The sequence below is a fragment of the Homo sapiens genome, chromosome 1, assembly GCF_000001405.40.
Source record: "Homo sapiens chromosome 1, GRCh38.p14 Primary Assembly".
Classification (NCBI taxonomy): Eukaryota; Metazoa; Chordata; class Mammalia; order Primates; family Hominidae; genus Homo; species Homo sapiens.
The window spans coordinates 12,892,266-12,916,172 of record NC_000001.11 but is presented as its reverse complement, the minus strand read 5'-3'; the positions used below and the strand labels follow the sequence as shown (position 1 = coordinate 12,916,172).

Here is a 23,907-nt window from a genome sequence, read left to right as displayed (position 1 = left end):
GGATTAAAAAGCTCCTTTATCCAATGGTCACCTGGGTTTTATGTTTTATAACAGGGCAGGTCATATGTGGGTTCAGGTTGAAAAGGGAACCACGGAGGGTGTGATTGATCACAAGACTAAGGTCAAGGCTTCACTGAAGGAAATCAGGACAGAATGACAAAGTGAGGTGGCGGCTGGGCAGGATGGGACCGGGTGTTCTAGTAGAACCCTGGGAAGGAACCAAGACAGCATAAAACATGGTGGGTATTTTGTGGGCATCTCCACAGAAGGATTGAAAGACTCTGTCTAGATTGAGTTTAAAAATTAAAAAGGGAATAATTACAAAAGAGACAGTGCAGACTCTTCAAACACAACATTGTCTTTGAGGGCAGAGGAGGCAGATACAGTCTTGGCCTCTACTACAAGGGAAAGCGTGTTTACTCCCAAAAATGATGGGCTCGCCTTGGAAAATCAGCCTGGGAAGATGGAATCTGAGAATGTGAGCTGGGGCAGATGCCAGAGGAAGGAAGGAAGGAAGGAAGGGAGGGAGGAAGGAAGGAAGGGAGGGAGGGAGGGAGGAAGGGAGGGAGGTAGGGAGGGAGGGAGGGAGGGAGGGAGGGAGGGAAGGAGGGAGGGAGGGAGGGAAGGAAGGAAATGAAAGAAAGAAAGAAAGAAAGAAAGAAAGAAAGAAAGAAAGAAAGAAAGAAAGAAAGAGAGAGAGAGAGAGAAACTCAGCCTTCCTGTCTTTAAGAACGGTGCACACATCTGGTTGTATTGTGTGCAAATGTACAATACATTTCCCCAACAAAACCTGGAAGCTCTATTTCATGTTAAAAGATCTGCTAAGTTCAGGGATGGCTCCCATCCTAAGCAGGATCACACAGTCATTCTTCTGCTATTTTAGGGCACAAAGTAGCAAGAACGTCCCCCGCCTCCAGAAAGTCCTCCAGGCCTTTCTCTCCCATTCCATATGAAACCCAAACAGCCCGGAGATGCCACTGGCTTCCAAAACTGAAGTACTTTGAAGGATGTTCTCCATCATGGAATATTTCTGTAAATGTTCTTTCTCCACGTTTCTGACCTCACTATCAATGCCCTGCTATGTGTGCAATCGAGTTAAACTGAAACGTGCTCAGTGCGGCTTCTACTTCACCTGCCCTCACTTTGTGAGCCTGAGGCTGAGGGTGAGCTCAGCACCAAAGGTGATCCTGAGTGTCTCTGTTGATTGAGCATGCACAAGGCACAGCAGGGACTGGTACCATTCATCCAAGATCTCAGCTCTCCCTCACGAGGAATCTAAGGCATGTTGCTATATTCCTCATTTTTAAAGTGGTGACCCTGAGACTTGGCTAGGGAGAGGAACCTGCCCGTGTTCAGGCAGCAAATGATGGACAGACCCCTCTGGTGAGGAGCTCAGAGGATCCCCTAAGGAGTTCAATAATCTAAATGTTGAAAAGAACTGATTGACAGACTTTCCCTTCCTGCCCAATTCAGAAGGTCCAGCACCACCCCCAGGACCCCAGTGAGAATCCCGCACTTGGGGGCATTTCTACCATGTCCTGTCACCTGTTCTTCTCAAGGTGCTCATCTGCTGTCAAACTCAGAGCATCCTTCAGAGCCCCTCTGAGAAGATGACCTGACCCCTTCTCCACTCACAGAATCTCCACCAGAATACCAAAGCTCCCCCAGGCACTTGCTCAGGGTCTCTAGAATATTTCTGAGCTTCTGTTTCCCTCCTGCAGACTGAGCTGTCAAGGCAGGTATCTCTTTATGCATCCTGGATACCTCAGCCCAAATCTCCTGAACAACAGAACATGGCCACAATGCTGGGAGACCTTCACCCCAGAGCAGTCATTGAGGAATTCTCCCAAAATTCTATTGAGCTATTTTGGTGAACATGAGAAGCCATAAAGCAGGGAGTTCCTCAGCTGCTGCTCTGGCCCTAAAGAGGCCCCTGGGACAGGACTGCTGGAGGGTGACCCTGCCTGGCACGCAGAAGGAGACCTGAGTCCTCTGGTCTTCCTATGGGTGCCAGGCTGAGAAGAGGTCCTGGGAAATGTCTCGGTGCAGGGGCCATCCCTTCCCAGGCTCCCCTGGGTCAGCCTTAGAGCTGACAAGGCTGCACCTGGAATGCAGTCAGTCTGTTTCTGTCCAAGTCAGGTCTCTTCTTAGCCTGAGCTGTTCACCCTCTGTGCATTTCTAAGAGTCAAAATCTCTGTTCTGGCCCTGTTGCCCTTCTCTGGTCCTCAACCGGGTCTGATTCCAGGTCAGATTCATGCACATCGTGTGCTAAAGTAGGGGCTTCCTCTCTTTCTTCCTCCAATCAAGTCTGAGGACAAGGTCACCCTGAAAGCAGACACTTGATGCTGAGGGAGGTGCTCAGAGCCTGGGGTGGGAGGAGGTCTGCACCCTCACTCCAGGCTGGACAGAGCCAGAGGGACTGAAAGTAGGAATGGGGCCAAGAAGGGGAGTGATCAGAGGAGCTGATGGGGCTGAAATAAAGGGGAAGGAGGGAGGTGGCAGCAGAGCAGGGAGCCAGGTTCTCTGGCTCTCATAGAGCTGTGTCTCTGAAAGGCAGGGACTTGTGTCTGAGACCGTGGGGCACTGGGGCTTGGACTTGGGTCTGTGAGTTCCCAAGACACTTTATGTGCCCTGGTCTGCATGAGGTTTTAGTGGCTGCCCCATCCTGCCCCAGGGGCACAGAGTCAGGAGAGTGGGGAGTCCCAGGAGAGGAAGAGCGGGTGGCGAGTGTCCATCCTGGATCCAAAGACAAGCAGCAGGTCAGAAGGAAGCAGCTGTGGCTTGAGGCCAAGGAAAGGATTCTCTTTGGAAATCGTGCAGCTCCATCTTTTCACTGGTCAGAGCCTTATGGGACGGTGAGGACTGGGCTTTTCAGGAGGGAATGAAAAAGAATGGGGTCTGGCTCAGAGTCCCTGACATCCAAGTTATTCCAAACCTCCTCTGACAAGCAAAGGGAAAATCATGGAGGATGGAAGTCAAACCAAGGCTCACATGGCTGCCCAGAGCTTTCCAGTGGATCCAGAGAGGGCACAATGATCCTCAGTCAGAAAAGTCCTCCAATGTCCAGCACTGAGGCCCAACAAGAGTGCCTGGAGGGGACTCTCTGTGACATGTCTGAAGAGAAGATTCTGGCGCATGTGACTCCTCCCACACCCTCTGCCTCCCCCTGACTCCTCTCCCCTTGATTCATTCAAAGACCTTCACTGAGCACCAGGGATTGCTTCCTGCAATTCCGGGTGCTACCAGGGAAGATGAATAAAATGCAAGGAAGCTGGAGAATGAACTCAGCAGAGGACACCAGGCTCAGCACTGCAATCCCGGTCAGAAAAATAACTCTGCAGGCTGCGCGGTGCAGAGCGATCATAATAACCCATGGGGATAATCACAGGTGTCCCAAATCCTTTAATCACTTTTTGTTGGAATATGAAGAGGTCTCTCACTGCTGAATATAAATATACAGGGAAGTGAAAAACATTAGTAAAACGAACATTTACTAAGTGCAATGTGACTCAAAGCACTGAGAAGCCAAGGGTTTTATTTCTTTGAAACAACTTGCCAAGGCAGTTTGAACAGTGATCATCTTCTTCCTGGGCTCAGCACCGCAGAGGCAGCTGGTGTCTTCTCCACCTGGGAGAGTTGTCCTGCTTTTTTTTAAGTTGGGATAGGCCAGTGAGTCAGGAAGTTTGTTCATCTTGGGCTTGGGGTACAGGAGGAGTTGGTGGGGTGCCTGTGGCCACTCCACTGCCCTCTGGGATTAGGAGGAGACAGTGGGGTCAGGACTCACCCCCTGGCCTGTGCTTCAGGTGATCCCTCTCCGTCCTGTGGATGTGGGGTTGGGAGCAGGTTTGGGGTCCTCGCCTATCCCCATTGGCTCTTCTTGGGAAGATGAATTTATGGGGCACCTGCAGGTGGCCACGTGTGGGAAGGAATCTCAGAACTTACATGGATCCATGCAAATGAGGCTTCCTTCAGGCAGACAGAGGAACTCTGAGCCTCCCTGATGCTGCAGGCACCTGGGTTTGGGGACCCTCTTGGAGACAAATGCATGGAGCGTCCCAGCAAGTTTCCCTGTCTCCCAGCTCCTCCCTGGGCTTCTGCATCCGGGAGTCAGGGCCGGATCAAGAGAAGCCCTGCGGGGAGTGGGAAGGACATAGGATTCTCAGGGTCTCAAGTTCAGCTTTTAACATTATCCTCAAAGGTGGGGTTTTTCCCAGAGGCCTCCTTTCCACAGATCCCATGCCTTCTTGCTGGACTCACGGGAAACTTGCCCTGCTAGAGACATGGGATATTTTACTTTTCTGTGCCATGGAGCCATGCTGGAGAGCTGTGACTTCCTAGCTGACCACACACACACATAAACATGTAAACACCATGAGGTCATTGTAGGGATGCCCACTGGGCCTGCGGTTCTCCCATAGCACCCAGTTCATAAAAGCCTCCCTTTCACTCACCTGGGGCCTGGAGTCATTGGCCTCCTCCTGTCTCATTGATCCAGCATTTGGCCTTGACTGGCCAGTGACTCAGACCCCAGCAAGAAGGACAAAATGACTAGTTCACGTGCTTTAGGGGAAACACAGAGAGAATGAGAAGACCAGTGTCTGAACTGGCAGGTTGTGAATTGGCTCAGGGAGATGAGACTGGAGAGGTGCAGCCAGGGGCAAGGGTGACTCAGGGGTCATTGGCAGTTTGGGATTAGGGTTGTGAGGCCACTTGAAGCCTATCTTCCACATCCCCGAGGTGGCTGAGAGGACCGTGTTCCCTGAGGGGACAACCAGAGGGCAGGGACACGCTTCAGAAGATTCTTGCACTGTCCAGACAGGAGGTCCTGGTGTCCACTTGAGTGGCCATGGACAGCATAGGGACGTCCTGGAGGCAGAGTCAGCAGGACTTGCTCTTAATTCTTCCTGGGGTGGATGTGAAGCTTGTGTCCTGGCAGAGGGAGTGGTTGGCACAGGGCTGAGTTATCCCCTGTGGCCTCAACTGTTTTCCTGATTATGCCTGTTGTCTTTGAATGTCAACAAAAGTAGCCAACATTTATGGAGGGTTTATTATGCCCCATGCTTTGGGCTCAGCATTTTTACCTGAAGATTGAGATTATCCTTCTACACATTTGATGGAGAAAGAGACACATTCAAAGAGAGAGGGAGAAATTTTCAAGGCCAGACAGCCTGTAAGTGGTGGGACTGGAATGACGGAATGTCTGTTTGTCAACATCTTTGGCGGTGACATGATACTGTCCCAGTCCCTGCAATGTGCTGCTCATTTTCATCCTTTCAAATAAAACTCCACAGTCAGAGGCTTGTGCAAGAGTTGGGGTCCAGAGCATCAGGTCTAATGTTTGCTATGTTTATATTCACTGCCAAATCTGTTATTCCAAAGAAATTTTACTAGTGAAATAGAAATACGTTGTCTGACAGCATTACCCCCTGTGATATGGTTTGGATCGAACCATTGCTCTCCAGCCTGGCAACAGAGTGAGACTCCATCTCCAAAAAAAAAGCAATTAATTATAACAACACGTCTCTTCACTCTCCAAAGTGTCTGGGACTGGACAATTAATTGTCAGGCCCTCTTCTGTAGCACCATACACTAGAGCATATACGTGGATTAAAATAAATACACACACAAAATGCAAGTATATATTCTTTTTTCATTATTATTATACTTTAAGTTTTAGGGTTCATGTGCACAACGTGCAGGTTTGTTACATATGTATACATGTGCCATGTTGGTGTGCTGCACCCATTAACTCATAATTTAGCATTAGGTATATCTCCTATTGCTATCCCTCCCCCCTCCCCCCACCCCACAACAGTCCCCGGTGTGTGATGTTCCCCTTCGTGTGTCCATGTGTTCTTATTGTTCAATTCTCACCTACGAGTGAGAACACCTATGAGTTTTGTTCTAGGGTTTTTATGGTTTGAGGTCTAACATGTAAGTCCTTAATCCACCTTGAATTAATTTTTCTATAAGGTGTAAGGAAGGGATCCAGTTTCAGCTTTCTACTTATGGCTAGCCAGTTTTCCCAGCACCATTTATTAAATAGGGAATTGTTTCCCCATTTCTTGTTTTTGTCAGGTTTGTCAAAGATCAGATAGTTGTAGATATGCGGCATTATTTCTGAGGGCTCTGTTCTGTTCCGTTGGTCTATATCTCTGTTTTGGTACCAGTACCATGCTGTTTTGGTTACTGTAGCCTTGTAGTATAGTTTGAAGTCAGGTAGCATGATGCCTTCAGCTTTATTCTTTTGGCTTAGGATTGACTTGGCAATGCGGGCTCTTTTTTGGTTCTATATGAACTTTAAAGTAGTTTTTTCCAATTCTGTGAAGAAAGTCATTGGTAGCTTGATGGGGATGCCATTGAATCTATAAATTACCTTGGGCAGCATGGCCATTTTCACCATATTGGTTCTTCCTACCCATGAGCATGGAATATTCTTCCATTTGTTTGTATCCTCTTTTATTTCATTGAGCAGTGGTTTGTAGTTCTCCTTGAAGAGGTCCTTCACATCCCTTGTAAGTTGGATTCCTAGGTATTTTATTCTCTTTGAAGCAATTGTGAATGGGAGTTCACTCATGATTTGACTCTCCGTTTGTCTGTTAGTGGTGTATAAGAATGCTTGTGATTTTTGCACATTGATTTTGTATCCTGAGACTTTGCTGAAGTTGCTTATCAGCTTAAGGAGATTTTGGGCTGAGATGATGGGGTTTTCTAGATATACAATCATGTCATCTGCAAACAGGGACAATTTGACTTCCTCTTTTCCTAATTGAATTCCCTTTATTTCCTTCACCTGCCTGATTGCTCTGGCCAGAACTTCCAACACTATGTTGAATAGGAGTGGTGAGAGAGGGCATCCCTGTCTTGTGCCAGTTTTCAAAGGGAATGCTTCCAGTTTTTGTCCATTCAGTATGATATTGGCTGTGGGTTTGTCATAGATAGCTCTTATTATTTTGAGATGCGTCCCATCAATACCTAATTTATTGAGAGTTTTTAGCATGAAGGTTGTTGAATTTTGTCAAAAGCCTTTTCTGCATCTATTGAGATAATCATGTGGTTTTTGTCTTTGGTTCTGTTTATATGCTGGATTATGTTTATTGATTTTCGTATGTTGAACCAGCCTTGCATCCCAGGGATGAAGCCCACTTGATCATGGTGGATAAGCTTTTTGATGTGTTGCTGGATTCAGTTTGCCAGTATTTTATTGAGGATTTTTGCATCAATGTTCATCAAGGATATTGGTCTAAAATTCTCTTTTTTTGTTGTGTCTCTGCCAGGCTTTGGTATCAGGATGATGCTGGCCTCATAAAATGAGTTATGGAGGATTCCCTCTTTTTCTATTAAGTGGAATAGTTTCAGAAGGAATGGTACCAGCTCCTCCTTATACCTCTGGTAGAATTCGGCTGTGAATCCAACTGGTCCTGGACTTTTTTTGGTTGGTAAGCTATTAATTATTTCCTCAATTTCGGAGCCTGTTATTGGTCTGTTCAGAGATTCAACTTCTTCCTGGTTTAGTCTTGGGAGGGTGTGTATGTCGAGGAATTTATCCATTTCTTCTAGATTTTCTTGTTTATTTGCGTAGAGGTGTTTATAGTATTCTCTGATGGTAGCTTGTATTTCTGTGGGATCAGTGGTGATATCCCCTTTGTCATTTTTTATTGCATCTATTTGATTCCTCTCTCTTTTCTTCTTTATTAGTCTTACTAGCAGTCTATTAATTTTGTTGATCTTTTCAAAAAACCAGTTCCTGGATTCATTGATTTTTTGAAGGGTTTTTTGTGTCTCTATTTCCTTCAGTTCTGCTCTGATCTTAGTTATTTCTTGCCTTCTGCTAGCTTTTGAATGTGTTTGCTCTTGCTTCTCTACTTCTTTTAATTGTGATGTTAGGGTGTCAATTTTAGATCTTTCCTGCTTTCTCTTGTGGGCATTTAGTGCTATAAATTTCCCTCTACACACTGCTTTGAATGTGTTCCAGAGATTCTGGTATGTTGTGTCTTTGTTCTCATTGGTTTCAAAGAACATCTTTATTTCTGCCTTCATTTCGTTATGTACCCAGTAGTCACTCAGGAGCAGATTGTTCAGTTTCCATGTAGTTGAGCAGTTTTGAGTGAGTTTCTTAATCCTGAGTTCTAGTTTGATTGCACTGTGTTCTGAGAGACAGTTTGTTATAATTTCTGTTCCTTTACATTTGCTGAGGAGTGCTTTACTCCCAACTATGTGGTCAATTTTGGAATAGGTGTGGCGTGGTGCTGAAAAGAATGTACATTCTGTTGATTTGGGGTGGAGAGTTCTGTAGATGTCTATTAGGTCTGCTTGGTGCTGAACTGAGTTCAATTCCTGGATATCCTTGTTAACTTTCTGTCTCATTGATCTGTCTAATGTTGACAGTGGGGTGTTAAAGTCTCCCATTATTATTGTGTGGGAGTCTAAGTGTCTTTGTAGGTCACTAAGTACTTGCTTTATGAATCTGGGTGGGGCAACCCGCTCGGGTCCCCTTCCACAGTGTGGAGGCTTTGTTCTTTCGCTCTTTGCAATAAATCTTGCTACTGCTCAAAAAAAAAAAAAAAGTATGAATCTGGGTGCTCCTGTATTGGGTACATATATATTTAGGATAGTTAGCTCTTCTTGTTGAATGGATCCCTTTACCATGATGTAATGGCCTTCTTTGTCTCTTTTGATCTTTGTTGGTTTAAAGTCTGTTTTATCAGAGACTAGGATTGCATCCCCTGCCTTTTTTTGTTTTCCATTTGCTTGGTAGATCTTCCTCCATCCCTTTATTTTGAGCCTATGTGTGTCTCTGCACGTGAGATGGGTTTCCTGAATACAGCACACTGATGGGTCTTGACTCTTTATCCAATTTGCCAGTCTGTGTCTTTTAATTGGAGCATTTAGCCCATTTATATTTAAGGTTAGTATTGTTATGTGTGAATTTGTTCCTGTCATTATGATGTTAGCTGGTTATTTTGCTCATTGGTTGATGCAGTTTCTTCCTAGCCTTGATGGTCTTTACAATGTGGCATGTTTTTGCAGTGGCTGGTACTGGTTGTTCCTTTCCACGTTTAGTGCTTCCTTCAGGAGCTCTTTTAGGGCAGGCCTGGTGGTGACAAAAATCTCAGCATTTGCTTGTCTGTAAAGTATTTTATTTCTCCTTCACTTATGAAGCTTAGTTTGGCTGGATATGAAATTCTGGGTTGAAAATATTTTTCTTTAAGAATGTTGAATATTGGCCCCCACTCTCTTTCTGGCTTGTAGAGTTTCTGCCAAGAGATCAGCTGATAGTCTGATGGGCTTCCCTTTGTGGGTAACCCGACCTTTCTCTCTGGTTGCCCTTAACATTTTTTCCTTCATTTCAACTTTGGCGAATCTGACAATTATGTGTCTTGGAGTTGCTCTTCTCGAGGAGTATCTTTGTGGCATTCTCTGTATTTCCTGAATTTGAATGTTGGCCTGCCTTGCTAGATTGGGGAAGTTCTCCTGGATAATATCCTGCAGAGTGTTTTCCAGCTTGGTTCCATTCTCCCCATCACTTTCTGGTACACCAGTCAGACATAGATTTGGTCTTTCCACATAGTACCATATTTCTTGGAGGCTTTGTTTTTTTCTTTTTATTCTTTTTTCTTTAAACTTCTCTTCACACTTCATTTCATTCATTTCATCTTCCATCGCTGATACCCTTTCTTCCAGTTGATTGCATATGTTAATGAGGCTTGTGCATTCGTCATATAATTCTCATGCTATGGTTTTCAGCTCCATCAGGTCCTTTAAGAACTTCTCTTCATTGGTTATTCTAGTTATCCATTTGTCTAATTTTTTCCCAAAGTTTCTAACTTCTTTGCCATTGGTTCCAACTTCCTCCTTTATCTCGGAGTAGTTCGATCTTCTGAAGTCTTCTTCTCTCAAATCATCAAAGTCATTCTCCATCCAGCTTTGTTCCATTGCTGGTGAGGAGCTGCGTTCCTTTGGAGGAGGAGAGGCACTCTGATTTTTAGAGTTTCCAGTTTTTCTGCTCTGTTTTTTGCCCATCTCTGTGGTTTTATCTACCTTTGGTCTTTGATGATGGTGATGTACAGATGGGTTTTTGGTGTGGATGTCCTTTCTGTTTGTTAGTTTTCCTTCTAACAGTCAGGACTCTCATCTGCAGTTCTGTTGGAGTTTGCTGGAGGTCCACTCCAGACCCTGTTTGCCTGGGTATCAGCAGCAGAGGCTGCAGAACAGTGGATATTGGTGAACCGCAAATGCTGCTGTCTGATCTTTCGTCTGGAAGTTTTGTCTCAGAGGAGTACCCAGCTGTGTGAGGTGTCAGTCTGCCCCTACTTGGTGTTGCCTCCCAGTTAGGCTACTCGGGGGTCAGGGACCCACTTGAGGAGGGAGTCTGCCCGTTCTCAGATCTCAAGCTGCATGCTGGGAGAACGACTACTCTCTTCAAAGCTGTCAGACAGGGACATTTAAGTCTGCAGAGGTTATTGCTTTCTTTTGTTTGTCTGTGCCCTGCCCCCAGAGGTGGAGTCTACAGAGGCAGGCAGGCCTCCTTGAGCTGTGATGGGCTCCACCCAGTTCCAGCTTCTGGGCTGCTTTGTTTACCTACTCAAGTCTCGGCAATGGTGGGGGCCCCTCCCCCAGCCTCGCTGCCGCCTTGCAGTTTGATCTCAGGCTGCTGTGCTAGCAATGAGCAAGGCTCCGTGGGCACAGGACCCTCCAAGCCAGGTGTGGGATATAATCTCCTGGTGTGCAGTTGTTACGCCCATTAGAAAAGCGCAGTATTAGGGTGGGAGTGACCTGATTTTCCAGGTGCCATCTGTCACCCCTTTCTTTGACTAGGAAAGGGAATTCCCTGACCCCTTGTGCTTCCCAGGTGAGGCGATGCCTCGCCCTGCTTCAGCTCACGCACGGTGCACTGCACCCACTGTCCTGCACCCACTGTCTGGCACTCCCCAGTGAGTTGAACCTGGTACCTCAGTTGGAAATGTAGAAATCACCCATCTTCTGCATCACTTATGCTGGGAGCTGTAGACTGGAGCTGTTCCTATTCAGCCATCTTAAGTATATATTCTAAATACTTTCTATATACTTATATTCTAAGAGGTCACATGCAAATTCAAGGCTAGGTCAAAGAGTAGAGTGGCTATCTATGGAAAGGGGAGTGGAAGTGAATCATGGTAATAAAAATTAAGTATAGATATAGATAGGAATAGATAGACATACACACATATAGCTGCAAGAAAGGGGAATGTCATGGACCAATGATGTCAGTGAGCCATGTAAAAAGGCTACAATTCTTGTGATTGTGTGTCTGTTTTCAGGATGGGTTGTAGCTTACCTTTTTAGAAAGGCTGATGCCACAGCCATAGTGAATAAATGGTTATAAAATGTGTTTCCTTTCTGGGGCATCTCTGGAGAAATCTCCAGTGGTAGGAGAACTCCGTTTACTGGGCAGGTGATCACACAGATAAGATTTTTCAGATCCAATGGCACTACCATTAACTTCATTATCCTTGGTATTCTACAAAGGTCGAGTGAAGAAATGGTATCTTGAAACTAAAATTAGCTAAACTAACAAAGGAGATTGGGTTAATTTTTTTTTTTTTTTTTTTTTGAGACAGAGTCTCTGTTACCCAGGCTGGAGTTCAGTGGTGCTATCTCAGCTCACTGCAACCTCTGCCTCCTGGGTTCAAGTGATTGTCATGCCTTAGCCTCCCAAGTAGCTGGGATTACAGGCATACCACCACACCCAGCTAATGTTTGTATTTTTAGTAGATAACGGGGTTTCACCATGTTGCCCAGATTGCTCAACTCCTGGCCTCAAGTGATCCACCAGCCTCGGCCTCCCAAAGTGCTGAGATTACAGGTGTGAGCCATCATGTCCAGCAAGACTGGATTACTTTAATGAAATTTTTACCACCCCCTATGGGAAAACACAGCCAGATCCCCCATAAGGTATTTTTTTTTCACCAACTGCAATCAGAAACACTGATAATTAAGTATTTACTGGAGAACCTATGCCTTTGATAATAGAACATTATGTATCCCCTGCACTTTTTAGCTCTGATCATGTAACCAGAGGATCAACTCCAACAGATTAGTCATTGCTTAAGTTGTTACAGGTGATGACGCAAAGCCCAAATTGCTCAGGCATGTCCGATGGGAAAAAGGTTTAACCTCTTAACTATTAACACAGCCAGGCGGACTGTTTGAATTGGCATCATCTGAAACCAGTTGGAAAGATGATGCAAGCTTGCTCCACCATCCCCAGATTGGGGAGACAGGTTTAGAACTTGTCTCCTATCTGCTTGTCAGTTAACTCTTTTTTATTTTTATTTTTATTTTTTTCTTTGAGACAGAGTCTCACTCTGTTGCCCAGGCTGGAGTGCAGTGGCATGATCTCAGCTCACTGCAACATTGGCCTTCCAGGTTCAAGTGATTCTCCTGCCTCAGCCTCCCCAGTAGCTGGGATTACAGGCATGCACCACCATGCCCAGCTAATTTTTGTATTTTTGTATATTTATTTATTTATTTATTTATTTATCATTCTTGGGTGTTTCTCACAGAGGGGGATTTGGCAGGGTCATAGGACAATACTGGAGGGAAGGTCAGCAGATAAACAAGTGAACAAAGGTCTCTGGTTTTCCTAGGCAGAGGACCCTGTGGCCTTCCGCACTGTTTGTGTCCCTGGGTACTTGAGATTAGGGAGTGGTGATGACTCTTAACGAGCATGCTGCCTTCAAGCATCTGTTTAACAAAGCACATCTTGCACCACCCTTAATCCATTTAACCCTGAGTGGACACAGCACATGTTTCAGAGAGCACAGGGTTGGGGGTAAGGTCATAGATCAACAGGATCCCAAGGCAGAAGAAGTTTTCTTAGTACAGAACAAAATGAAAAGTCTCCCATGTCTACTTCTTTCTACACAGACATGGCAACCATCCGATTTCTCAATCTTTTCCCCACCTTTCCCCCTTTTCTATTCCACAAAACTGCCATTGTCATCATGGCCCATTCTCAATGAGCTGTTGGGTACACCTCCCAGACGGGGTGATGGCCGGGCAGAGGGGCTCCTCACTTCCCAGTAGAGGCGGCCGGGCAGAGGCGCCCCTCACCTCCCGGACTGGGCGGCTGGCCGGGCGGGGGGCTGACCCCCCACCTCCCTCCCGGACGGGGCAGCTGGCCTGGCGGGGGCTGACCCCCACCTCCCTCCCGGACGGGGTGGCTGCCGGGTGGAGGGGCTCCTCACTTCTCAGATGGGGCGGCTGCCAGGTGGAGGGTCTCCTCACCTCCCAGAAGGGGCGGCGGGGCAGAAGCGCTCCCCACATCTCAGACGATGGGCGGCCGAGCAGAGACGCTCCTCACTTCCCAGACGGGGTGGCGGCCGGGCAGAGGCTGCAATCTCGGCACCTTGGGAGGCCAAGGCAGGCGTCTGGGAGGTGGAGGTTGTAGCGAGCTGAGATCACGCCACTGCACTCCAGCCTGGGCAACATTGAGCACTGAGTGAACGAGACTACGTCTGTAATCCCGGCACCTCGGGAGGCCGAGGCTGGCAGATCACTCGCGGTTAGGAGCTGGAGACCAGCCCGGCCAACACAGCGAAACCCCGTCTCCACCAAAAAAATACGAAGACCAGTCAGGCGTGGTGGCGCGCGCCTGCAGTCGCAGGCACTGGGCAGGCTGAGGCAGGAGAATCAGGCAGGGAGGTTGCAGTGAGCCGAGATGGCAGCAGTACAGTCCAGCTTCGGCTCGGCATCAGAGGGAGACCGTGGAAAGAGAGGGAGAGGGAGACCGTGGGGAGAGGGAGACCGTGGGGAGAGGGAGACTGTGGGGAGAGGGAGAGGGAGAGCAATTTTTGTATTTTTAATAGAGAGGGAGTTTCACCATATTGGTCAGGCTGATCTGGAGCTCCTGACCTTGTGATCCGCCCACCTTGGCCTCCTAAAGTGCTGGGATTACAGGTATAAGCCACTGTGCCCAGCCCAGTTAACTGTTAATAAATTTTTTTTTCCCAAAATGGAGTCTTGCTCTGTCACCCAGGCTGGAGTGCAGAGGTGCAATCTCGGCTCACTGCAACCTCTGCCTCACAGGATCAAGTGATTCTTCTGCCTCAGCCTCCTAAGTAGCTGGGATTACAGACATGGGTCATCACACCCAGCTAATTTGTGTATTTTTCATAGAGACAGGGTTTCACCATATTGGCCAGGCTGGATTCGAACCCCTGACCTTGTGATCCGCCTACCTTGGCCTCCTAAAGTGCTGCAAATATAGGTGTCAGCCACCATGCCCAGCCTTTTTTGCTTTTCTATGCACTTAGGAGAGTGAGCCCATCGTTCAGTAACAATATGACTCAGTACTGCAAGACCTTTCAAAGCCTATTTCCAGTTGGTGAAGGAGGGTTTCGATGATCACTGGACCTTCATGCCCTACCATTTGGAGACTGCATCTTTTAAAATGACACCAAGGGAAATCTGCCCATGAGCAGCATTGGATGGGACCATACCAGGTGACTTAAAATTAAGGATAACCAAGGAACAAAGTCTTTCTTAGAAGCAGACATCATCACATGGTAGACAGCTTTTTTAAGAAAATGGGACAAAACTCCATTTGATCTCCTTCCATTGACTGAGACTTGGTTTTGTTTTGTATTAACACAAAGTGATCAAGCCTACATTTTATTTTGTTACGTACTTTCACCAGTCAAAGCAAACACTTTCTAAGTTCTCCTATTCAAAATTTAGCCATTCTCACTAACCAAAGCAATTACTGGCTATGGAGTCATTTAGATGAATGGGAAGGATCACAACTAATAGTAGAACCTGCTCTCACACACGGTTGGTTAATATTGATAATTAAATGACTTGGCACTGAGCAGAAGCTATAGATGCAAATGGGTGGCCTATGACTATTGTTGATTTCATTACTTGTAACTTATCTCCATGCATAGGAAACATTAGTGTAACCGGGTCTAATCTAGGTAGTGTCCCAGACTCCCCCTAGAATCGAACTCTTTCATTTGACACACATTATGAAGACTGAAATGCTATAAGTATTGACATAGACACAGAATCAGAACATGACCATGTTATCCTCTGCCATATAATCAGAGAACTTACTGAAACTAGACATTTGTTCATTGGAAACTCGAGGCAAATAGAATGCATCTATAGCTCTACTATATGAAATAAACAATAGTTTCATTTATTGGATGCATCCATACTCAGCACATATTTGGAGAAGACCCTATTCATTCTTCAATGGAGATGACATGCAAGGATTATTTAATAAAATTCATAAAAATATTTTTTCATCCCACCCCAGTTCAAACTGTCACCATGCAACCTGGTGTCAGTGGAAGGTAAGGCGCTTAAGGCAGAAATAATTAAATAAATCTTCATTGGAAGCTAAATGTGAGAATCAATGTGGAAGACACAGACCAACAAAGTGGGTGTGTTCCAAAGTCTGTTACAAGTTGGAATGCTTTTGTGAGAAAAGTTAAAAGAAGGGAATGAGACTCCTCCTATCAGTTTTTTTTTTTAAATTTTCTTTTGTTTTACTGACCTGGCAAGGCTCAAATAGAGTTGAGTTTTTGTTTTGTTTTTGTTTTTTCCATTGGAAGGTACAATACAGAGGTTACAATCATTGACTTTAGCTGACAACATAACAAGTTAAACATTTTCCTTGCAAGACAACCAGTGAAACTTCATGATCAGAATCAAATCAGTGTCCTTCTCACTGTAAGTGGGTGAAGCTTCATCAATAATTGCAGAGTTTGAGGCACTCATGAACTCAAGATCAGATTCTTTACTCAGGGACAGAATGTAAGCCAATCATAAGACCTTCCACAGGTGGTTAATTTGGACTCCTGAAAAATGTGACCTGTAAGTTTTCACTGGCAATATGCAGGTGCACATATGACAAATAATAACCAGGACCTTTATATCACCCCCAACTGGTGGGGAATGGGATCCTTTTGACCCTTTCTCTCCATAATACCAGGCTACTCATCTTGTGTGGCAATAAAATATATGGTCTACTTCACAGAGAAAGAGATTCTTTTAAAAAAAAAAAGGATTTTTATTATGAAATGAGCAAAGCAATGGGAATAGATGTGAGATTATTCAGGGAGGTAAAGGAAGACAAAGGTTTTGAAAGGAAAAATCAGGAGAATTACATACACTGTTTTGGAAGACTCATTCTTGGTCACAAGTATCAACACCAAGGGGGCCTCAGTGCAATGTTGGAAAGATTCCTCCTCCACGCCCTCAATAACCCCCAACATGTTTACCAAGTCTTGGTTCACTCCCCGGATCCCATTAAAACACACAGCTCAACCCTGACCAGCCTCCACCTTCACTTCCCTTTGTAATTTTGACATGACTTTTTTTACAGGACCATCAGGTTCCTATGCCTGCAGCACAGTAGCATACTAATATTCTGAGACAGCAGGGTTTGCAGCAGAGAGTTTAACGATCACAGGGTGGCAAAATGAAAAGCTGGGAGGAGACCCTCAAATTCATCTCCCCAAGAAGTACTGAGAGTTTTCAGAGGATCATGGATAGCAAGAGGCTGGAAAGTTGGTGCAGTTTGGTGGCAGTAAGAGGTATGAAGTCATCAGGATGTCAAAACTGCATTCCTTGGTGAGTTGGTGCCTTGCAGGGCCCTTCAGATCACCTGCCATCAGTAGCTTCACTGACATGCAGAACCTGAAAGAATATGTCAAATGAAAAAGTTAATGTTTTACAAGGCCTAAATTGTTGTCTGCAGGGCAGTTAAGGGCAACTGTAATCTAAGGTCTACATGATTTTGGGACAGCAGGCTGCCAGCAACCATGAGGAAGCAGGTCAGAGAGCAAGCTGACCTCATGATGAATGCTGAATGCACTGCAAGCTTGGTTTATGTCTGTTTCTCCCCCTCCCTTCTTCACTGATTAAATTTATAAAGTTTATAAGTATGGTTGCAATTTCTTCCAGAGTAGCCTTAACCTAAGCCCTGAGACCACTCAGGTCCTCAGTGGCACCTCTCTTCCACCAGCAGGAGTGAAAAAATTGCTACCTTAGGTGATATAAAACCCACAAGACCATTCAATACATGGAGATTTTTATTTTGATTTTGTAGGGACGACTCCTCTGTTTTTATAAAGCTATTTTAACTATAAAACATTTTTGTGATTTTGATGTGGCCAAAGATCTCCCAACAATACTACTTTCAGATTTTAGTTTTCTGTCTAATATCTGGGAAAGATTAGACCCTTCCCTGCTTCAGACTCAGGACTATGCAGGTCACATATTAGTGAAATTCCATCAGTGTTTGTGAAGTTCATGAATGAATGAATTTTTTTTTTCCGACAAATTCTCCCTCTGTCACCCAGAGTGGAGTGCAATGGTGCAATCTTGGTTCACTGCAACCATTGCCTCTTGGGTTCAAGCGATTCTCCCACCTCAGCCTCCTGAGTAGCTGGATTACAGGCATGTGCCATCGTCCCTGTCTAATTCTTGTATTTTTGTAGAGACGGGGTTTCACCTTGTTGGCCTGGCTCGTCTTGAATGTCTGAACTCAGGTGACCCACCCAACTTGTCCTCCCAAAGTGCTGGGATTACAGGAGTGAGCCACCTTGCCCGGTCTTGAATGAATGCATTCTTGATTCCCACCCTATCCCTAACACTGTCAATTTCTTGATTCATGAACTTAATATGGATATCTGATATGAATGGATATCTGATTCAATCCATTAATCTGGGGAGAGCCAAAACCCCAATCAGGATTAACTGGGTGGAGCTTCAGAAATGCAATCAGATATCACTTGTTGATTGGAAGCTAGCAGTGGATACGTGGAGGGGTGTGGGTGGGAGTTGTGATTAGAAAGGTCAATAAAAGCTTCTAAAGACCCACAGAAGAGACCCAAAGTCTTCAAGCCTGGAGTTCCTGCTTAGTTCTTCCTGAGGTCTGAGCACCCTCCAAACTGAGTCCAGATCTGGTAAGTCACTAATCTCTCTGTAAGGACACTCCCAACTGACCTACAGTCAGCTGGTCTGGGATGGTGACAGTGCAGCCTAAGATGGCATAGAGTTATATCCTGTTTTGTTTTTTTTCTCATATGAACAATTTGAAGCTTTGCATTTTTTCCTCTAAATGCAGTTTTGTCTTTATTTCAAAAAATTGGATTGTGCTTTGGTTTATGTCATTTCAAAATTCTTGAAGGGAGCAGTGACTCATGCCTTTAACCCCAACACTTTGGGAGACCAAGGCGGGAGGATCATTTCAGCCCAGGGGTCTGAGACCAACCTGGACAACACGGCAAAAACCCATCTCTATAAAATATTCTTTATTGAAGGGGGGATGGAGTCTCGCTCTGTTTCCAAGGCTGGAGTGCAGTGGCACGATCTCAAATCATTGCAACTTCTGCCTCCCAGGCTCAAGCAATTCTCATGCCTCAGCCTCCTGAGTATCTGGTATTACATCCAACTGCCAACTTGCCTGGCTAATTTTTGTATTTTTAGTAGAGGTGGGGTTTCACCATGCTGGCCAAGTTGGTCTCAAACTCCTGACCTCAAGTGATCCACCTGCCTTGGCCTCCCAAAGTGCTGGAATTACAGCCATGAGCCACTGGTGCTTGGCCTCTACAAAATATACATATTTTTTAATTAGCCGGGCATGGTAGCATGCATCTGTCTTCCCAACTGTATGGGTTGCTGACATGGGAGAAACAATTGAGCCCAGAAGATTGAGGCTGCAGTGAGCCATGCTCATACCACTGCTGTACTCCAGCCTGGGCAACATTGCGAGGCCCTATTACAGAAAAAAAATCTTAACCAAAGAGGATCTTTGACCTTAATTTTAAACCAATCACATCCTCATTGTAACTCTTCCACCCAAACGGAGACATGGGTGTGGAGGTGCATGCCTGTAATCCCAGCTACATGGAAGGCTGAAGCATAAGTATCACTTGAACCTGGGAGGCAGAGGTTACAGTGAGCTGAGATGGCACCACTGTACTCCAGCCTGGGTGATGAAGTGAGACTCAGCTACCCCGACACGAAAAAAATTAAATTATACCACCCAGGTGATCATTGGATTCATGAAGATTTCTACTGTGTTTTCTTAGGGACTGTCATGTCTATCTTTGTAAAACTGTTTTAACTCTGAAATATTTTGATAAATTTGATGTGGCCAAGGATCTCTCAACAAAGATACTTTCGAGTTTTTTTCTTTCTGTCTAATGTCAGGAAGAGATTCAACTCTTCCCTATCTCACACTCAGAACTACAAAGGTCACATATTACTAAAATTCCATGTTTGTGGAGTAAATCAGTGAATGAGTCCTGGACTTTCACCATATCCCTAAATATTTCACTTTCATGGATGAATATCTAATTTGATAGTTAATCTGGAAGAAAGACAAAAATCCAATCATGATTAACTGGATGGAGCTTAAGAAGTCTAATCCAATGTAGTTCTCTCTCTCTCTCTCTCTTTTTTGAATCTAGCCAATTTCCCAGGCTGGATTGTAGTGGTATAATCTCAGCTAACTGCAACCTATGCCTCCTGGGTTCAAGCGATCCTCCTGCTTCAGCCTCCCTAGTAGCTTGGACTATAGGCGCAGACCACTGCACCTGGCTAATTTTTGTAATTTTAGTAGAGGTAGTGTTTTACCATGTTGGCCAGGATGGTCTCAAACTCCTGACCTCAGATAATCCAATGCCTCTGCCTCCCAAAGTGCTGGGATTACAGGTGTGAGTCACTGCGCACAGCCAAAGTGGTTCATTTTGAACATGCGTAAGAGGTGTGTATTGGAAACACCTGTGTCTTGCGAATGATGCATAACACTGTCACACAGCTTTCAAAGCTTCTTGGTGAAATTTTCAATAATGAGTCCCGGAAGAGGATTACGCCTGTAATCCCAGTACTTTGGGAGGCCAAGGCGGGTGGAATGTTTGAGTCTAGGAGTTCAAGACCAGCCTGGACAACATAGTGAAACCCACTGTCTTTACAAAAAGTCAAAAAATAAAAGATTAGCTGGGCATGAGATCCGAGCTTCAGAGATCCTCGGTAACATTTCCCAGTGCTATGAGTTTATTGCAACAGTGGCTAATAATTCATGGACTAGGAAGGATCTTGCCTGCTCTTTAGAGGTTGGGACACACTCTTCTTGGTACCAGAAGGGCAGAACCATGCCTCTGTAGCCACTTATTGCAGAACGGAATTGGAGTAAACTGAGGGCTCTTTCACACGTGCTAGAGAAATGACTTTGGCCCTAGGAGAAGTGGGGCTTGCTGGGGAATGGCCCGAGAAACTTGCCTTTTCACTTGATTGTCCTCTAGAGTTTTCCCTCGGAGATTTGTCAGAATGAGCCTCCAGGCCCCATCCAGACTGCTGGAGCTGGCAGGGCAGAGCCTGCTGAGGAACCAGTTCTTGACCATCTTCACCCTGGATGAGCTGCCCAGGGAGGTCTTCCCTCTGATGTTCATGGAGGCCTTCAGCATGAGACGTTTTGAGGCCCTGAAGCTGATGGTGCAGGCCTGGCCCTTCCTCCGCCTCCCTCTGGGATCCCTGATGAAGACACCTCATCTGGAGACCTTGCAAGCTGTCCTGAGGGGACTTGATACACTGGTGGCCCAGAAGGTTCGCCCCAGGTGAGGTGACTCAGGTGGCTTTCGGGGAAGGGTCCAGGCATCCAGGGAAGGGACAGCTGGCTCAGGAGGAGTAGTGGGGTTGGGGAGCTAGGGTGGCTCAGAGGCTTCTGACGGTGCCCATGAGAGGCCTTGGCCATTGCCCAGATCCTCTGGAAAAGGTCTGCTCACCATACAGGGTCCACTGAGGAAACAGGAGCTTGCTTCCTCCCAGCAGAAAGTAAAGGTACTAGAAGTGGGTACCAGGCAGAATCCAAGAGGGAGCAGGATGGAGAAGAGACAGAAGGAGGAGCACTGAGGACAGGAGCAGCTGACTGATGTCCTGGATGTGGAGTGAAAGCTCAGGTCAGGGGTGGGTCCTTGCCTACATTCTGAGCTTTTCCCCTATGTTACTCATAGGAGGTGGAAACTTCAAGTGCTGGATTTGAGGGATGTTGATGAGAATTTCTGGACCATATGGTCTGGAGCCAGGGTCCTCTCCTGCTCCCCAGAGGCCATGAGTAAGAGGCAGACAGTGGAGGACTGTCCAAGGATGGGAGAGCGCCAGCCCTTGAAGGTGTTCATAGACCTCTGCCTAAAGGAAAGTACACTGGATGAATGCCTGAGCTACCTTTTTGGGTGGATCCACTACAGAAGAGGCCTAGTGCACCTGTGTTGTAGTAAGGTGCAGAATTACTCAATGCCCACTTCAAGTTTCAGAAATCTATTGGAAAGGATATACCCAGACAGTATCCAGGAGTTGGAAGTCTGGAAAAAGTGCTCTCTCAATAAAACGGGAAAGTTTGCCCCTTACCTGAGCCAGATGAGCAATCTTCGTGAACTCTTTTTAGCCTTCGGTTATGAGCGTGAGTTGTACGTGAGCGTCCAGTGGCCGTGCATTCCTGACTTGGACTCTCCATTCCTCTGCCTGTACTACCCCCAGATGCTTTATATAAAAAAGATCAGTAATATCAAAGAGCACCTGGAGCACCTGCTCAGGTAAGAAATGATGGTGAGCTTTCTCTGCAGACCATACCACAGACTTATGTTCTTTTTCACAGTAAATGTTAGTGGGCATCTACTGTGTGCCAGCCACCGGTGATGTCATAGGGAATGGGACGCTAGAATGTCAACTCATTATGCTCTTCAGTGCTCTATATCCTGAAATGGGTATCACAAGACCACTCAAATAAGGGCAGAGGGATGGCCTGGGGTAGATGCCACAGAGAGAGGTGTGTAGGGAGCCGGTTAGTTGAGGGTTCAGATCTAGTGAGGGTGCATTTGTGAACTCCTTGTGAGGAACAGTGTATAAAGTTAATATGATGAAAACACATTCTTCATACAGAGGATGGTATGAAAGAAGGGAAGGTGTGGCCGGTTGTGGTGTCTCATGCCTGTAATCCCAGCACTTCGGGAGGCCAAGGCAGGGAGATCATGAGGTCAGGAATTTGAGACCAGTCTGGCCAACACAGTGAATCCCCGTCTCTACTAAAAATACAAAAAAAAATGTCACCGGGCATGCAGACAGGCACCTGTAATCCCAGCTGCTTGGGAGACTGAGGCAAGGGAAGTGGAGGCTGCAGTGAGCTGAGTCGGTGCCACTACACTCCAGCCTAGGTTACAATGTGAGACTGTCTCAAAAAAAAAAAAAGAGAAAGTACATCAAACCTGTGCATTCCACAGTAGCAGCTCTGTCTTCAGCAGCTTAGCAAACTGCTCTAATTCCCTGTCTGTAAAACGTTGTTTTGAACTCCAGGAAAGATAATTGATATCAGAAGTGCATGCTTCTGGGATGGAGGGTGAGGGAGTAGGTGTGAGAGTGGTACCAATCACACAGGCAAGGGTGAAAGGACTGAGCCTAAAATGGAGTGGCCCCTGAATGATCTGAGTCTTCATCAGGCAGCACCTTGCATGCAGACCATCATCTGATGATGGGAACAAACTTGTGTTTGGGTAAAACAGGCTTCCCCATTGCAGTTACTATAACACCTGTGTGGTAGTAAGGTGCAGAATTACTCAATGCCCACTTCAAGTTTACCATTGAGATGATTTCCCACCCCCCTCCTCTAACTGGCACCATTGCCCATAACTAACTTCTTGCTCTCCCCAGGTACCTCAAGAACCCCTTGGGGGCCTTTATATTCAGTGATGCTTACCTAACTGATCGGGACATGGAGTGTCTGTCTCAGTACCCAAGCCTCAGTCAGCTAAAGGAGCTGCGTCTGATTCATATCCTAATGTGGACCACCAATCTTGAGCCCCTTGGAGTTCTGCTGGAGAAAGTTGCTGCTACTCTCAAGACCCTCGTCTTAAAGGACTGTCGGATCCAGGACCCCCAACTCAGGGTCCTCCTGCCTGCCCTGAGCCACTGTTCCCAGCTCACCACCTTCAACTTTCATGGAAATGAGACCTCCATGAATGCTCTGAAAGACCTGCTGCGTCACACACGTGGGCTGAGCAAGTTAGGCCTGGAGTTGTATCCTGCCCCTCTGGAGAGTCTTGACTACAAGGGTCATGTCAATTGGGAGATCCTCACCCCAATTCGGGCTGAGCTGATGCGTACACTCAGGGAAGTCAGGCAGCCCAAGAGGATCTTCTTTGGTCCCGTCCCTTGCCCTAACTGTGGCTCATGGCCATCTGAGAAAGTGGACTTCCATCTTTGCTCCTAGGGAAGGCCTGGTTCGTGGGATGGATAAGCTTTCTTCTGGACACTTGGGAACTAAAATATTGTACATGGGTGCATTTTTTAAAATTTTATTTTATTTTTTATATTTTTTATTTTATTTTATTTTTATTTTATTTTATTTTATTTTTTGAGACAGAGTCTCACTGTGTCCCTCAGGATGAAGTGCAGTGGCACAATCTCAGCTCACTGCAAGCACCACCTCCTGGGTTCAAGTGATTCTCCTGCCTCAGCCTCCCAAGTAGCTGGTGTTGTGGGTGTATGCCCCCACGCCCGGCTAATTTTTGTATTTTTAGTAGAGACAGGGCTTCACGATGTTGGCGAAGGCTGACCTCAAACTCCTGACCTCAAGTGATCTGACCACCTTGGCCTTCCACAGTGCCAGGTTTACAGGTGTGAGCAGCAGGGCCCGGTCAGCCGCTTCTTAAAGGAAGCACACAGCCACGTATTTGAGGCACGTGCTCACTGTGAGTGGAAAAACAAAGGTGACTCAGCCAGGGGCAGGACTGGGTAAAAATGCTGACTTGGCATCAATGAGGCCTTCAGGGACCTGTGTCCTAGACTTAGAAATGGAACCTGAAGTTCTAGAGTGATGCAGGACTTACCCCTGCAAGGATGGTTATTTAAAAATGTCAA

The 23,907-nt window shown here is 46.1% G+C and overlaps 1 protein-coding gene across 1 annotated transcript; it reads left to right on the top strand.

Moving 5' to 3' along the window:
• Window positions 1-17,902: 17,902 nt before the first annotated feature.
• Window positions 17,903-23,277, top strand: PRAMEF10 (PRAME family member 10). The gene is made up of 4 exons (NM_001039361.4): window positions 17,903-17,957; window positions 20,301-20,612; window positions 21,009-21,587; window positions 22,699-23,277. Exons 2-4 carry the CDS (start codon window positions 20,326-20,328, stop codon window positions 23,255-23,257), a joined length of 1,425 nt encoding a protein of 474 aa, NP_001034450.3. The 5' UTR covers window positions 17,903-17,957; window positions 20,301-20,325; the 3' UTR covers window positions 23,258-23,277.
• The last annotated feature ends 630 nt before the right edge of the window (window positions 23,278-23,907 follow it).